The sequence below is a fragment of the Homo sapiens genome, chromosome 22, assembly GCF_000001405.40.
Source record: "Homo sapiens chromosome 22, GRCh38.p14 Primary Assembly".
NCBI classification, from domain to species: Eukaryota; Metazoa; Chordata; class Mammalia; order Primates; family Hominidae; genus Homo; species Homo sapiens.
This window is the reverse complement of record NC_000022.11, coordinates 20,854,962-20,871,145: the sequence shown is the minus strand read 5'-3', so window position 1 is coordinate 20,871,145 and position 16,184 is coordinate 20,854,962. Positions and strand designations below refer to the sequence as shown.

Genomic DNA, 16,184 nt, shown 5'->3' with positions numbered 1-16,184 from the left:
AGACTTTTTTTTTTTTTTTTCTTGAGACAGGGCCTCCCTCTGTAGCCCAGGTTGGAGTGCACCATTACAGCTCACTGCAGCCTTGATCTCCAGGCCTCATGAGATCCTCTTACCTCAGCCTCCTGAGGAGCTGGGACTACAGGTGTGCACCACAATGCCTGGGTAATTTTTGTAAAGACTGGGTTCCCACTATGTTGCCCAGGCTGGTCTCGAGCTCCTGGGCTTAAGCAATCTACCCACCTTGGCATCCTGAAGTGTCGGGATTACAGGTGTGAGCCACTGCACCCAGCCCTAAAGATTTTTTAAAGCAAAAATTATGTGAAGTGAGTCACATTTGTACAGATTACGCTGAGGTGAACACCCTCTCTTTCAAAGTAGTGGGGTCACAATTATTGGAGAAGCTATTGACAGACTAGATGTCAATCAAGTGAACATGGGATCAGGGAAGAACAGTTCCTGGTTTCACAATGTTTGAGGACAAATATCCCCTGATGAGTAACTTAAAGGGTTGTTGGATCCCTTCATGGCACTGACGTGGACTGAAAGTCTTGGTCATTTGCACTAATCCCCACTTCTGCTCCTTTATACCCAGATGGTAGAAGATGCACTCACCTGTTGTTGGGCTGGGAGGTGAGGGTGCCATTCTGTTCAGGTGGGGTCTCTACTGGTTTGGATTTGAAGTAATTGACCAGCCCCCCAAACACGCTCTTAATGCTATTGATGTGTTTCTGGCTGATCTTCAAATCTTGGTCCATCTTGTCCACCATCTTCTCTGTGCGCTCCAGGACTCCTCGCTGACGGGCGAGCTCCTGGGGAAACCGAGAGGCAGTGGCATTATAGCTTTCTGTGACTCTCCCCCAGGGCAGTCAAGGACCACATGGAGCAGCCCCTTCATAAACTCTCAGTGGGCACATCTGGAGACGGGTACTGTCATCTGTGAGGGGCACACTACCCTTTCCAACAACACATTCCTTTGCCTCTCCCTCCCTGCCCTACCTCTACTTGCTTTCCTCATTTGTTCATGAGACCCTTTTCCTGAGAGGCTGGCTCATGGCGCCATGTTAAGATGGATGGCAGAGGGTGGCGCAGTGATTCACACCCGTAATCCCAGCATTTTGGGAGGCTGAGGCGGGCAGATCATGAGGTCAGGAGTTCAAGACCAGCCTGGCCAACATGGTGAAACCCCCTCTCTACTAAAAATACAAAAAGTAGCCAGGTGTTGTGGCGGGCACCTGTAATCCCAGCTACTCGGGGGGCTGAGGCAGGAGAATTGCTTCAACCCTGAAGGCAGAGGTTGCAGTGAGCCAAGATGGTGCCAATGTACTCCAGCCTGGGCGACAGAGCAAGACTCCGTCTCGGTTGGGGGTGAGGGGAGATGGATGGCAATGTGCCTGTGAGGTTCAGAGTCTATGGCCTGAACTGGAAGCAGATTCTCTCTAGCCCTCCAACTCTGGGAACCCTCACAGGTTGGGCCTGGCACTGCCCCCTGGACTTTGGTTCTTATATTCTTCCTTTAGGAAGTTCCCATTTAAGGAGTTCCCACTGGGCCACCTGAGCCTCCTGGCCATGGTCAAATCCTCAAATTCTATTTCAAGGACCAGTGTCCCCTCTGGGCCCTATTAGTGTCTGACTCTAGCCCATCCACAATTCCAGCTTTAAAACCTGTTAACACGGGTGACCCTGTCCCAGGGCCTTTGCACACACCACTGTCTCCGCCTGTAATGTTTTCCATCCAGATACTTACATGGCTCAGCCTCTCATCCCTCATCCAATTAGGGTCTCCTTTCAAAGGCCACTCTCTCAGAGAGGCCTTCCCAGACATCTTCCCTAAAGGAGAATTCCTTCTTCCAACCACTACCCCTCTTCTCCACCTCCTTTTCTGTTTTGAGATGGAGTCTTGCTCTGTCACCCAGGCTGGAGTGCAGTGGCGTGATATTAGCTCACTGCAACTTCTGCCTCCTGTGTTCAAGCGATTCTCCTGCCTCAGTCTCCTGAGTAGCTGGGATTCCAGGCGCCTGCCACCATGCCTGGCTAGTTTTTTGTATTTTTGGTAGAGACGGGGTTTCACCATGTTGGCCCGGCTGGTCTCGAACCACCCGCCTCGGCCTCCCAAAGTGCTGGGATTACAGGCATGAGCCACCGCTCACAGCATATGAGCTCCACGAGGCAGGGACTTGCTCTGTTCACTGCTGAGTCTCTGCAAATCTGCCCAATGGAGACGTGAGTGATGCTCTGTGGCCACAGTGGCAGCCTGATGGTCCCTCCAGAGCTGATGGTTCTGGTTGTGGATATACATTCACAACATCAACACTACCACTTTCCTTTATTTACGACAAACTTGCTTCAGTCCCTAGTTCAGAACTGATCTACAGCTGCGGCCCATCTGTGAGCTGCCTTTCCAGCCAGAAGGCTCTCGAGCTTCATTTTTCCTGCTCTGTCAGGCAGCCTCTGCCCTCAGCTGCCTTCCTCTGAATCTATCCACCCATCACCCTGTGGCTTAGCAATTACACTAACTATGCAAATGTTTTTTAGATATATTCTCTCTTGATGCCTAAAAACAAAGTCAAAAAAAATTTTAAACATCCTGGAAACCTGAAGAGCAAAATGCAACTATAAATAAATGGTTGTGGCTTCCTTAAAGTCCTTAAGGAATCAATGTGTAACCTGAGTCCTTGTTTAATGGGTGAAATTTAAAAACATAATGTATAGGCAAAAAGCTAAAACACTGGTTGGTTGAATTTACTATTAAACTTTGTTTAACTCTTGCTGGAAATAAACTTAGAACTGCTGAATTTTACAGCTTTCAACGTTTATGTTTTTCACTAGTTCACAAGAGATGTCTGAACAAACCATCAGCCTTTTTTAAGTAAAAAAAAGATGTTTTCTGGATAGTGTCACTCAGTATGTCAAGCAAATCTTGCAAGGGCTAGTTTTCAAAAGAAAAAAGAGCTGCTAATGTATCTGGCATTTCTGCTCCTTCCATCACCTCAAGTTTATCATCTTCATGTCCACACTGCGGTCTTCTCTGGAATAAGGCAGAGCTATACGTTAGGATTAACAGATTTTCTCCAGCATCTACATGTTTTTCTGACAGTCCAGTTCCAGCTAGCTTTGCAGGCTGCAGAAGAAGCTTTCCAGTAGCTGGAAAGACACTCAGAGCAGCCAGGTTGGGGACTGGGGAATGAAGAGGTGGCCAAGACTCTGCTGTCACATTAGGAGGGAGGTCCTCAGCTTCCCTGATGGTGAGCTCCTCCCATCAGGGCCAACCCACGACCACTCACCCTCCCACCCTGACCTCCTCATCTCAATTTGGAGAGCTACCTTCCCCAGTATGGACTTATTTTCTCTTATTCACAAGAGACACATTCTCTCAAACTCCCAGAGTCTGTGCTACTGTTAAGGAAACCAGATGGCTGATTTAGATGTTTAGATGGGAGCACAGAGAAGTCTGTGAGGGTGGCTTATCTTGCCTGTGAGGCTGGAAGGCCAGGCGACTGAGTGCTGCTCTGGCCTCTGGAAGTTTCTGTTTGCTGAAAGCTAGTGTTCACCAGAGGTCATGAGGCCAGCAAGGGAGGAGTTGTTTCTTCTGCTAAAATCCACCCCCAGAAGGCAGAGGAAATGACCGGACTTAATGTGCTTGTGACCTAGTTCCAACCAATGAGGAAGAAGGGTTTGACAGAGCAAACACCAAAATACCAGGAAAGAGAACACTGACAGTCTGTAAGGACAGGCCAGGCAGACACCTGTGCCCCAGCCACCACCAAGACAGGCCTCAACCGCTCCAGGTACCGAGGCAGGTCCACACCCCCCTCCGCAGAGCCACGGCCCATCTTCTCCAACTTCCCGTGGGAGAATGAGGTCCCTGAACGGACTTGGGTGGCTGCTAGGGGAGTGAGCTCCGCAGGTGCCCTCAGTGTAAAGGACGCACATGCAAAGTGCTTCCTTGTTTCAGTGATTACTAAGCATTACAGGTGATGCCCTTCTTACTCCCTTGAACCCCAACAAGAGTTCTCTCTTTGTCCACGAAACAATCCCAAGTCTCTGTCCTGATGGTGTTTACAGTCTAACAGAGAGCAAGATGAGTGAGGTTCAATCTCAGCTTTTCATTTGTTGACAACATTGCAATGCTCGGAATCCAAGAAAGGCAGATGAGTCCTTGCTTCACTGAGCTTACAGTCCTGTGGGGGAGGCAGAAACTAAAGCTACTGCACGCGTGCACACAAACACATACACACACAGAGTCACCTCTCCCTGCAGACTCTTTGTTTAGCTTAAGGTGGGGGTCAGAGAGGCTCCCTGTTGAGGCTGGAGGAGAGACTGAGAAGTTAGGCAGTCAGAAAGTTGGGGGTCCTGTCCATTTGGACTTAGTTTTCCTAAAAACAAATCACAACGAAGAGTTGGGGTGGGGCAAGGGCACCAGGCAGAGGGTGCAGCTTGTGCAGGGGCAGAGGAACCGTGTGGGGAGTGAGCGGGGCTACCCACAGGACTCGGCAGGGAACACCCACAGGATGTCACTAAGGCCTTCAAAGGGCAGCAGTGACCAACAGATCTCAACTGCAACTCGCAGCCAACACATCTTATAACATCAGGTGGGCTTCCGTGACCGAGACCTCCCCAGGTTCCTGACGGAAGGGCATCAATACTGTGTTTCTCATACTGAGCTCGTAAACTCAGGTTCTGATAAATGAGGTTCATCATAAGTAGACGGAGGCCAATCTGGAGTCAGTGAGCTGAATCTAGAAATCTGAAATTTATCTTTGTTCCATCTCTCCCTTCCCAAGGGAGTGTGCACAGGCACAAGCCTTGGCAGGGATACGTGAGCACCCATGGCAGATGCTCAAACCCGGGGCTCTGACTGTGGCAGCTGGAGTATGGGGTGGATTCAGAGACAAATCGGGTCTTAGGGTGCAGGAAAAACCACCAAGGGCAAAGGCGGTAGTGCTGGTGCCCCTCGCCGTCTGTGTGCAGGCCAACCTGGGGCTGAGCAAAAGGCTAGCTCAGCAGCTCTGGGTTGTCCATACACTCCACATTCCAAAGAGAGGTGTGGCCCTAGCCTGGTTCCTTGTTTTTGGAATATCCTGCCTGATAAGAGTGTCCTTGCTCAAGTGAGCCTAAGCTTAGACCAGGTCAGACAGACTATGCTAACAATGTGATATATGATGGTGGCCTTGGGCTACACGTTATCAGCTTGACCTCTGGTGGGGTTGGAGACTATACTCAGCCATGCCTATGTGACAGACTCCCCAAAAAACTCTGGACACCCAGGCTTAAGTGAGGGTCCTTGGTTGACAATACTCTGTGTGTGTTGTCACGCACTGCTTGGAGAAGTGTTGTCCACATGACTCCATGGGGAGAGGACAACTGGAAGCTTGTGCCTGGTTTCCCCTGGACGCTGCCCTATGCACTTTTTTCATTTGATGGTTTTAATCAGCATCTTTTCATTGTAAGAAACCATCACCATACGTGTAACAGTTCTGTGCATCCTTCCAGTGAATCAGTGAAGTTGAGGGTAGTCTTGGGAACCCCCAAACACCTCCCTACAACACTTCCCACTCTAAGAACACCTCAGAGGCAGAAAGCTGTATAGCAGATGGCCGCTCAGCTTGTCACAGCATGTTTCCTGGTCAGCAAAGCAAGGTTCCTTGGGACAATGTGGCAGCTGTGAGTGGATGTGCCCAGGAAGGAGAAGCCAGAAGCTCGAACAACCAGCCCATCCTCAGAAGGCATCCTGTTACAGCCAACAAGCCAGCAAATTGGCCTGGGATCAATGGTCTAATTCTTTTTTTTTTTTGAGACAGGGTCTCACTTTGTCACCCAGGCTGGAATACAGTGGCATGACCTCAGCTCACTGCAGCCTTGACCTCCCTGGTTCAAGAGATCCTCCTACCTCAGCCTTCTGAGTAGCTGGAACTACAGGCATGCACCGCCATGCCCAGGTAATTTTTGTATTTTTTGTAGAGCCAGGGTTTTACCACATTCCCCAGGCTGATCTTGAACTCCTGGGTTCAAGGGATCCACCTGCCTCAGCCTCCCCAAGTGCTAGGATTACAGGTGTGAGCCACCACACCTGGCCATCAATGGTCAAATTCAATCATTGATAGTTTACCAAAAATTAATTAAAAATAAATCCCGAACAGACCTAGCGGTGAGTATGTGGTCCAATGCCATTTCTCCACCAGACTCCCTCCCACCTGCTAGACACAGCCTGACATGTGTTGGGATGCATTTTCTGGTCACAGGACAGGCATTGCAACCAAGGCACACAGCTCAATGCATTCTTTCCACCCAACTCTCTCCTCCTTTTTCAGGCAATCTTCTGTTCCCTCCCTCCTTCCTTTCCTTCCCCAGGTCACTTATTCATTTGGCAACTATTTTGGGAGCGCCAATAACGCTTAAGGACATTGTGCTGAGAAGCGTGGGGGTAGAAAGTTGAGCAAGAGATGGGTAAGAGACTGCTCCTCTTCCACTGCTGACATTTACAAATTTGAGGAATTACTTAATCTAGCAGCTGCTTGTCCCCATCCATCAACTTTTGCTAAGAACTCTGGCTGCATCAGTATCACCACACGCTGCCTCAGAGGGGTGACTTTGGTCTGTACGGCCCCTCATTTGGAGTGGGCTGCTCCAAGACCAGAATCCCTGAGAATGAGGATATCACCTTTTGGCAATGTATCTACTCTAAGTTCCGGGGACACCTTGATGGCCTCTGCTCCTGGGCCAGGAGGGGTGTCCTCCTCTCTCCCACCTCTGAATGGAATGCCCAGTGTGGGTGACTGTTGTGTGCTGGAAAGACACAGAGATGGGTGGGCCCCTGCACGAGACGGTGTGGAGGATGTGCTGGCGGTGGCTGCTGAGTGCATCACGTTTGAACTCTCAAACTCTGTCCCTTTCCATTGATGTTACTGTGCCAGCCGTTCCAACCCTGGTCTAATGTTTGTTGCTGGACTCCCCTGAACCGAGATCTCGGGCCCCAGAAAACCTCAGTGGAGTTAAGTTCAGCTACAAGAGGGGAAGCAGAGTGTCCTGGGCAGGTGAGTCTCCTCCACTGGAGTGATGAAAAGGTGTACAAAAACCATGTCCAAGTAGGATGCAAATAGACTCACCAAAAGGTGTAAACAACCTCAATGCTCATCATTAGGGGACAGGCTGCATAAATAGAAGTCATTTGTTCAATGGAATACAACACAGCCAAAAAGAAAGCCCAGCTCATTACATACTAGTGTGGAACAAACTCCATTCTATTAAGCACATGCAGACCAGAATGTATACAATACTTCACTTAAAAAAAAAAACCCATTTTTATCCACGGCATTATCTCCCCAAAACACTGAAGGAGGGAAAGTGCCTGGCTGCCTTAGGGGCAGAGGGATGATAGGGAGGGAAGTGGGAGAAGACTACACCCTTTTGTATGTTTTGAAATTTTGAACCATGTGATTGGAATCTCTCTTCATAAAAATTAAACCTTAGGAAAAAAAAAAGAAGAAATCATGCTTACTAAACAGGGAAAGAGACGAGTGGCTTACAAGTCTCCCTGTAGTTCTACAAAGCGCCTACCAGGTCGGCCTGGGGAAACCGCCCTGCTCCCACTACTTCTCCTCTGTTCTTTTGTGGTCATAGCCTGTGGCCTGAGCCTTTGTGAGAAACAATCCTTGCCAGGTTTCACAGTAGGAGAAGGGCAGCTCTCTTTGCTAGAGGTGACTTAACTAAGCCATTTTCCTGCCAAGCTGGGACTGAATTATAATCTTCCCAACCTAATATAATTTGTAAAGTCCTCATCTTTGACATAAATCTGTCATGTGTTGGCATGTTTCACAGTGCTGGGGTAACCAGGCACCTAAGTTGGGTGATTAGCAGGGTATGCTGGAATTTGCTGGAAGCCACACTGTGCACTGAGGGTTGGAAGAGCTCATACTCCTCTGTTCCCATCCCAACACCAAAGGGAATGAAAGAGTGATTAGAGTGATTCAAAGACAGCTTGGAGCCTGTAATCCAGCACTGGGAGGCCAAGGTGTGCAGATCATCTGAGCTCAGGAATTCGAGACTAGCCTGGGTAACATGGCGAAAGCCCATCTCCACCAAAAATACCAAAAATTAGTCGAGTGTGGTGGCGTGCACCTGTAGTCTTGGCTACTTGGGAGGCTGTGGCAGGAGGATCACTTGCACCTGGAGGCAGAGGCTGCAGTGAGCCAAGATTGCACCACGGCACTCTAGCCTGGTTGACAGAGTGAGACCCCCATCTCAAAAAACCTCCCCCAAAACAAAACACAAAAACAAAGACAGCTTGGAGAACACTGGGTGTGGTGGAGATGTAGGTCATCCCTGACTCCCAGGGCTTCTCATAATTGAGAACTGACCCAATCCTGGAAAATTCCAACATGTTGTCTCACTGACAAGAGCACCTGTCACCTGCCCAGTCATGACCACACTGTACTTCTCACAGCAATGCCTGGCCTGGCCAAGCCTGATATGCCTGAAGTGCCACTCTGCCTCAGCTCTCACTGTCCCCACTGCATAGAAAGACCTTTGGGGGCAGCACGGGGCATGTCATCACAATCTATATCAAACTCACCACTATTACATTTTTGCCTCTCCTGCGCTATGAGACCAGAACTTTCCCTATGACCTCCAAGGGCTCCTAAGCTACCTCCTCCATCCCCTGTCCTCTAACACACCCAGTCTATCATGTCCCTCCTCTGGACCCAGGAGCTCTGTTGCTGGGCCAGTGCATTTGCATATTTTCCTGTCTTCCCTAAGAACATCCCTCATTCTCACTCCTCTTGTGTAAACCTCAGCCTTAAAAGCTAGATTCAAGTTTATCCTCTGCCACAATGCCCTACTTTGAATCATTGATTCCCTACTTCATTTGTTCTCAGTTTACAAAGATGTCTCCTTAAATAGTTGTTAGTTGAATTCCTTGGGCTTGAGATCCTCAATCATGTGACCCATTCACCAGGGCCCTAAAACCTCAGGCAATCCTCTCAAATCTAAGCCAAGACTTCCCATTTAGAATGGAACATAGGAATCCAGTAGGTATGAGATGTAAGAACTACAGGCAAAACCTCCCTAACAAGGTTAGGACCGGGCGCAGTGGCTCACATCTGTAATCCCAGCACTTTGGGAGGCTGAGGTGGGCAGATCACCTAAGGTCAGGCGTTTGAGACCAGCCTGCCCAACATGGCGAAACCTGTCTCTACTAAAAATACAAAAATCAGAGGCCAGGTGTGGTCGCTCACGCCTGTAATCCCAACACTTTGGGAGGCCAAGGCAGGTGGATCATGAGGTCAGGAGTTCAAGACCAGCCGGACCAACACAGTGAAACCCCGTCTCTACTAAAAATACAAAAATTAGCTGGGCATGGCGGCGGGTGCCTGTAAGCCCAGCTACTCAGGAGGTTGAGGCAGGAGAATCGCTTGACCTGGGAGGCAGAGGTAGCAGTGAGCTGAGATCGCGCCACTGAACTCTAGCCTGGGAGACAGAGCAAGACTCCGTCTCAAAAACAAAAAACACCAAAAAAACAAAAACAAAAACAAAAACAAAAAAATTAGCCAGGTGTTGTAGCAGGTGCCTCTAATCCCAGCTACTTGGGAGGTTGAGGCAGGAGAATCATTTGAACTGGGGAGGTGGAGGTTGCAGTGAGCCGAGATCACACCATCGCACTCCAGCCTGGGTGACAGAGTAAGACTTTGTCTCAAACAAAACAAAAATAAAAAACCAACAGTTAAACACAGGGAGGTGGGCTAGGTGCAGTGGCTCACGCCTATAATCCCAGGACTTTGGGAGGCCGAGGTGGTGGATCACGAGGTCAAGAGATCGAGACCATCCTGGCCAACATGGCAAAACCCCAACTCTATTAATACCAAAATTAGCTGGGTGTGGTAGTGCACGCCTTAGTCCCAGCTACTCAGGAGGCTGAGGCAGGAGAATCACTTGAACCCAGGAGGCGGAGGCTGTAGTGAGCCAAGTTGGTGCCACTGCACTCCAGTCTGGTGACAGAGCGAGAATCTGTCTCAAAAAAAAAAAAAAAAAACCACAGGGAGGTGGATCAATGAGGGATACATGAACAGAGAGAGGTGGGGAAGGGAATTAACCCAAGAAAACAGCAAGGGGAAATGATAGCGTGTTGCTCTGTCGCCCAAGCTGGAGTGCAGTGGTATGAACATGGCTCACTGCAACCTTGACATCCTGGGCTCAAGCGGTCCTCCTGCCTCAGCCTCCTCAGTAGCTGCACTCACATGTGTGTGCCACCATGCCTGGCTAATTTTTCAAATTTTGTAGAGACGCAGTTACCCCTGCTGGTCTCAAACTCCTGGGCTAAAATGATCTGCCTACCTCAGCCTTACAAATTGTTGGGATTACAGAAGTACAACCGCGCCTGGCTTATACATTTTTTTAAACCTTTTTTTTTCTCTGTCCAAACAAAACTGTTTCATTAGCAGGCTGAAGAGAGACTGTGGTGTACAATAAAGAATCATTCTCGACCGGTATGGTGGCTCACGCCTGTAATCCCAGCCCTTTGGGAGGCCAAAGCGGGCGGACTGCCTGAGGTCAGGAGTTCCAGACCAGCCTGGCCAACGGGGCAAAACCCTGTCTCCACTACAAATACAAAAAAAATTAGCCGGGTGTGGCGGCGCACCTGTAGTCCCAGCTACTCGGGAGGCTGAGGCAGGAGAATCGTCTGAATCCCGGAGGCGGAAGTTGCAGTGAGCCCAGATCATGCCACTGTACCCAAGCAAGGGCGACAGAGCGAGATTCCATCTCAAAAAAAAAAAAAAAAGAAAAAGAAAAAGACCCTCCAGGATCTCGGTCTGTTGCCCATGCTGGAGTGCAGCAGCACGATCTCAGCTAACTGCAACCTCTGCCTCCCGGGTACAAGCGATTCTCCTACCTCAGCCTCCTGAGTAGCTGCGACTACAGGCGCACCGCCACACCCGGCTAGTTTTTTTTTTTTTTTAATTTTAGTGGAGACAGGGTTTCACCATGTTGCCCAGGCGGGTCTCGAACTCCTGAGCTCAGGCGATCCGACGCCTAGGCCTCCCAAAGTGCTGGGATTACAGGCGTGAGTCACTGCGCTCGGCCAGAATAATTGTTATTGAAGGTACTACTCTCTGAAATCTAAGGATGGGAAGAACTGATGAAGATGAGTTGGAGCAACAAACTCTTAACCCGCACACTATTTGTCTAGGATTTGGGAAGTAAAGGTAAGACCCTGGACTCAATCAAACCCAGGCTTTGGTCAACTAGGCAGCTGTCTGGGCTGAAGGGACTTCAATACCTCTATTGGTTGGTTAGGTGGAGATGTCAATGATGCGGGAAGAACTCGTGGACCACCTGCCCTGATGCTTCAGGGTATCACCTGACACTCGCAGGCACATAGTCCTCTCTTTCTGGCTCACTCCGGAAGGAATGGCCAAAACCCTGTGCCAGATTTTGCACAGGAAATAATGTCGAAGAAACGGACTCTCCATTTCCCAAACCTAGGACCTGCTGTTCAGAATTTTTACTCACCTGGACAGAAAATAATCTGGCGTTTCCCCGTGAGCTAGGCGTAAGAAAAAAAAAATCAACGAAGCAGACTAATAGCTAAGGAAGATTTCTGGGGTAAACTGCCCTCTTCAAGTACTCCAGATGCACATACCTTTACATAGTTAACAGATTGTTACCACCATCGAGTCACTAAGGTGCAAGAATCTATGCTAGGCAACTTGAGAATTCTCAAAAGATTGTGAGCAAAACATTTCTCGTCTCCGTTTGACAGCACAGAGACCGGCGAGTCCACACCAGCCCTGCCCCAGGCTCACCTCGGAAGAGGCGACCCCAACCTTCTCGGACTCGTACATGAGGGCCAGGGACCTGCTGGTGCTGGCGGCCGTGGCCTCAGCCCTGCGGAGGACCTCCTGCCGCAAGTACTGCTGCCTGTCCGCGGGCGCGTCGGGCCCGTCGGGGAGGTCTCGGGCGTCCCTCCAAGGGGCCGGCCGGGCGCCTTCGTCCTCCCCGTCGTCGTCGAACGGATTGTAGCTTTTAGGGTAAGCTGACATGGTGCCGGCGCGGCTCTCGGTCTGGGAAACAGAAGGAGGAGCCCCACTGCCGCCGCCGTCCAGGGCCTCGCCCCGCCCGCCGACCCCGCGGTCGTCGCGCGAACTCCTTCCGCGCGTCGCGCGCAGGTGGCCCCGCCCTCGGAGCCGACCATCGCGCAGGTCGGCTGGGGGGGGCCCACATCCGGCGCGCGCAACCGCAGCCTACTGTCCATCCCCTCTCTCCCCTGCAGCGGTGGGCCCGCCCCGCAGCCACGCCCTATCTAGTGTCAGCAACTGAGAGGTCACGTGGCGGGAAAGCCGGATGCACCTACGCCTGCGCCCTGAGGTCGGGCGCTCGCGGGCCAGGAGCGGGGAGCCGGCGGGCAGCGCCGCGGCTCGTGAGGTGATGGCGGCGGCCCCGGCCCGGGGAGGCGGAGGCGGAGGCGGAGGCGGCGGCGGCTGCTCCGGCTCCGGCTCCAGCGCCTCGCGGGGCTTCTATTTCAACACGGTCCTGTCACTGGCCCGCTCCCTGGCGGTGCAGAGACCAGCATCCTTGGAGAAGGTAACGTCGGCGGGCTGGGCCGCGGGCTGACAGGAGGAGGGGCTGGGGTGACGAAGCGTGGAGGCGGGACGAGGGTCTGTGGGAGGCCGAGGCTGGGCTCGCCGGCAGCCTGTGCGGGAGGGGGCGCCTGAGCGGAGGGATCTAGCGGGGGAAGGAGGCCCTAGTGGGAGGGGCTGGTGAAGAGAGAGGGACCGTGGGGGAAGGGTCGGCGGGGCCTGCAGGGCCGCTGCAGGTGGGTGGTTGTGGGATGGGGGTGGGGGATGTGAGCTGCTGGCCCAGGGAGCATCTTGTGACATCGCGGAGGTGGAGGCTGGATCGTGGGCGGCTGTGCGGAGCAGTGGGATGAGCCGAGGACCAGGGGTCAAGACCTGGGGTTCTGCTTCCGATTTCACCTGCTTTTTATTCCGCGACCTTGGGAAGATGGCTTTCTTGTAAAATGGGGATGCTTTTATCTGCTTTGCCGGCTTCACCGGACTGTGGTGACCAGGAGACGAAACACTGTCTTGAAAGTGCTTTGTGACTGTAAACCAACTGCGCAGTGTTATTCTACGAGGCTGGGGGCGTTAGGTTGGGTAAAAGATTGTGCGTTTGCAGAAGGGACAGTGGCAGGGAAAGGAGAGTGAACTGTCAGTGGGCAGAGAAGTGAACTTGGAATTGCTTCAGAAGAGAAAGGTGAAGTCATGCCAGAGCAATCCTCATCTTGGGAGAAAGGTGAAAGGCAACTCAGTGGTGTGCCTTGAGATCTGGAAAGAGACAGATTTTAGAGTGGGACCTGAATTTGTTCCCTGCACTGGCACTTACTTACCATGTCCTCTTGGGTAAATTTAACTCTTAGAGCCTCTGTATCCTTATCTGTAAAATGAGGTTGTTCTTGAGAATTAAATGAGTTCTAGCATAAAGCATCTTGCACAGGTCAAGGCACAGAGTGGGTGAGCAGTAAATGTCAACTTTCTTTGCCCACCCGTGTGCGATGAGACTCAGCACAGTGTTTAGCTCTGAAAGGATGGAATTATTTTCCCACTCAACTTTTTGGCACATGGAGAGAGGATGTTTTCCGACAAGATAAGACAGTGGTGACCGGAGACCAGCCTGCTGCAGTTGGGAGTGGTTTTGTGGCTGTCTGCTGATGGATGAAGCTGAAAGGCTGTTTTAGGCACTTTTGGCAGAGTGACCTGGTCCTTGGCCTTGTCGGTTCTCATATTTGATTTTATCATGCACCTTCGGGGTGAGAAGGTCCCGGCAGATTGGTGCTAACCTGACTTCTAGCTAAAGAGGGAGTACAATGCAATGGAAAGGACATGAGTTTGGAAAATGGAACCTCTGAATTTAAATCCTGTATCACTTGCTTTCACTAGTGTGACTCTAGACAGGTCAGTTCCCTTCTCTGATACTTTGCTATCTTCTGTCAAATACAAGGTAGTACTTCATAGGAGTATTGTGAAGAGCAACAAAAAGGCACGTGGGTACCTAATGTATGAGCACTGTTATCATTAGATAGTCTGACTAATGGAGTGTAGTGCTGTTTTATTGAATCAAACTCATGCTAGCTAGTCAGCACATTCGCTTCTTAGCAGGAGAGCCAACAAATATATCTTATGACTGATTGCTGGATTCTGGGAGGAGAGAGAAGAGAATGCAGTGAATTGGATGATCTTTAAGAAGCTGGTCCTGCAGCTCCAGCAGTGGTAGCACCCTTTCCACTCAGTAACTCAGAAAAGGGCACCTTGAGCTCAATTTGCTTCTTCAGCCATGTTCACTAGTCACGAGAACATTCTGTAATTGCAACATTCTTAGCTTTGTAGTAATAACTGCTTCAGTTGTCAAGATTATATTTTATGATGGGGCACGGTGGCTCATGCCTGTAATCCCAGCACTTTGGGAGGCTGAGACAGGCAGATCACTTGAGGTCGGAGTTTGAGACCAGCCTGGCCAACATGGTGAAACCCTGTCTCTGCTAAAAACCCAACATTAGCCAGGTGTGGTGGCACGTGCCTCTAATCCCAGCTACTTGGGAGGCTGAGGCAGGAGAATCGCTTGAACCTGAGAGGCAGAGGTTGCAGTGAGCCAAGATTGCGCCATTGCACTTCAGCCTGGGTGACAAGAGCAAAACTGTCTCAAAAAAAAAAAAAAAAGAAAAAGATTATATTTTACAAGGAACACAGCCATAGCCACAGGTTGGCAGCTCCCTAATGCCACTTACTTTAGGAAGTACTTCAGTCTCATTGGCAACATTTACCAATCACTTTTTTGGTTTTTTTGAGAGGGAGTCTCGCTCTGTTGCCCAGGCTGGAGTGCAGTGGTGAGATCTCGGCTCACTGCAACCTCTGCCTCTCAGTTTCAAGCTATTTTTCCACTGTAGCCTCCTGAGTAGCTGGGACTACAGGCGTGTGCCACCACCCCGGGCAAATTTTTTAGTATTTAGTAGAGACGGGGTTTAGTATTTAGTATTTAGTGGAGACGGGGTTTCACCCTATTGGCCAGGCTGGTCTTGAACTCCTGACTTCAAGTAATCCACCCGCCTTGGTCTCCCAAAGTGCCGGGATTACAGGCATGAGCCACTGTGCCTAGCTATTACTAATCACTTCTGTGAAGAAGAGTGAATAGAGCAGCACTGGGGCTGCTGTTTTTACAAGAGCCTGCTTACAAAGTTGGCCTTTGGCTGGCATCTGGGAAATAAGCACTTGAATGCTTTCCTCAATCCTGTAACTATTAGTAATAAAGATGGTTCACTATGCCTAGATCCTTTTTACAAACTATGATTTATGTTGAATACCTGCTTTCCTTCTGGGAATCTGATGGCTAGGCTGGTGGTGCATAAATTAAAAACTTAGGGTGCTGATTCTCTAATGGACTTTCCTGGGCACAAACTGCACACATGTATTGAATATTTTGCTGCTGTAGCAAGGAGCAAGCTTGATGTATATCCTCACAGGAGGGAGAGAACATAAGGAAGCCTGTGCATGGGTTTCTACAGGCAGCCCTGACATGCTTTTAGTGACACTTGAGGTCCTTTCCTATTGCTGATATCCATTCACTGTAAAAAATTTAGCCATGAGTACAACTATATACATGTGGGCAGTCTGGGGACCCCTGAAGCACCTTATTTCATAGAGGAGGCTTCTGTAAGTGGCTGACCCCATTAAATATATGTGAATTCCTCTCATCCTTATCTAAGATCTTGCGACTTGATTATGCTAGGGATCATTGTTAATATGTAGTCCCTGGCACATGTATACATATGTAACAAACCTGCATGTTGTGCACATGTACCCTTGAACTTAAAGTATAATAAAAATATATATATATAAAATATGTAGTCCTATAATATGTGTTTTACTACATTCCTCCTTTTGAAGCAATTGACAAAAAGCCCTTAGCATTCCCAAGGAAAAGTTTCTTGTTCTTTTTTTTTTTTTTTTGAGACAGTTTCACTCTTGTTGCCCAGGCTGGAGTGCAGTGGCATGATCTCGGTTCACTGCAACCTCCACCTCCCGGGTTCAAGCGATTCTCCTGCCTCAGTCTCCTGAGTAGCTGGGACTACAGGCACCTGCCACCACACCCAGCTAATTTTTGTATTTTTAGTAGAGATGGGGTTTCGCCGTGTTGGC

General features: G+C 50.1%; 2 protein-coding genes across 9 annotated transcripts in view, besides 7 other annotated features; one reads left to right on the top strand and one right to left on the bottom strand.

Moving 5' to 3' along the window:
* The window catches only part of SNAP29 (synaptosome associated protein 29), a 32,208-nt gene extending 20,069 nt beyond the window's left edge, over positions 1–12,139 (bottom strand). Inside the window, exons 1-2 of the mRNA NM_004782.4 lie at positions 11,799–12,139; positions 613–809 (exon numbers count right to left, since the gene is read on the bottom strand). Coding sequence (NP_004773.1) covers positions 613–809; positions 11,799–12,035 — 434 coding nt within the window. The 5' untranslated portion in view covers positions 12,036–12,139. The remainder of the gene's footprint in view (positions 1–612; positions 810–11,798) is intronic.
* Positions 3,039–3,570: an enhancer, noted in NCBI's record as "H3K27ac-H3K4me1 hESC enhancer chr22:21221864-21222395 (GRCh37/hg19 assembly coordinates)". NCBI's record gives its function as "activates a minimal SCP1, AML or CMV promoter by ChIP-STARR-seq in naive H9 embryonic stem cells {active_cell/tissue: H9 hESC(naive)}" and the evidence as "EXISTENCE:reporter gene assay evidence [ECO:0000049][PMID:30033119]".
* Positions 3,039–3,725: a biological region, named in NCBI's record as "Sharpr-MPRA regulatory region 10319".
* Positions 3,431–3,725: an enhancer, noted in NCBI's record as "tiled region #10319; HepG2 Activating DNase matched - State 5:Enh, and K562 Activating DNase unmatched - State 25:Art". NCBI's record gives its function as "activates a minimal TATA promoter and a strong SV40 promoter by Sharpr-MPRA in HepG2 and K562 cells {active_cell/tissue: HepG2 | K562}" and the evidence as "EXISTENCE:reporter gene assay evidence [ECO:0000049][PMID:27701403]".
* Positions 11,408–12,217: an enhancer, noted in NCBI's record as "H3K27ac hESC enhancer chr22:21213217-21214026 (GRCh37/hg19 assembly coordinates)". NCBI's record gives its function as "activates a minimal SCP1, AML or CMV promoter by ChIP-STARR-seq in primed H9 embryonic stem cells {active_cell/tissue: H9 hESC(primed)}" and the evidence as "EXISTENCE:reporter gene assay evidence [ECO:0000049][PMID:30033119]".
* Positions 11,408–12,656: a biological region, named in NCBI's record as "H3K27ac hESC enhancer GRCh37_chr22:21213217-21214026".
* Positions 11,897–12,656: a silencer, noted in NCBI's record as "silent region_13501". NCBI's record gives its function as "represses an Ori minimal core promoter by ATAC-STARR-seq in GM12878 lymphoblastoid cells {active_cell/tissue: GM12878}" and the evidence as "EXISTENCE:reporter gene assay evidence [ECO:0000049][PMID:35858748]".
* Positions 12,335–16,184, top strand: part of PI4KA (phosphatidylinositol 4-kinase alpha) — a 151,121-nt gene continuing 147,271 nt past the window's right edge. For all 8 annotated transcript variants that reach the window (NM_001362863.2, NM_001362862.2, XM_005261635.2 and 5 more), the window contains exon 1: positions 12,335–12,576. In NM_001362863.2, coding sequence (NP_001349792.1) covers positions 12,421–12,576 — 156 coding nt within the window. In that variant the 5' untranslated portion in view covers positions 12,335–12,420. The remainder of the gene's footprint in view (positions 12,577–16,184) is intronic.
* Positions 12,677–12,726: a silencer, noted in NCBI's record as "silent region_13500". NCBI's record gives its function as "represses an Ori minimal core promoter by ATAC-STARR-seq in GM12878 lymphoblastoid cells {active_cell/tissue: GM12878}" and the evidence as "EXISTENCE:reporter gene assay evidence [ECO:0000049][PMID:35858748]".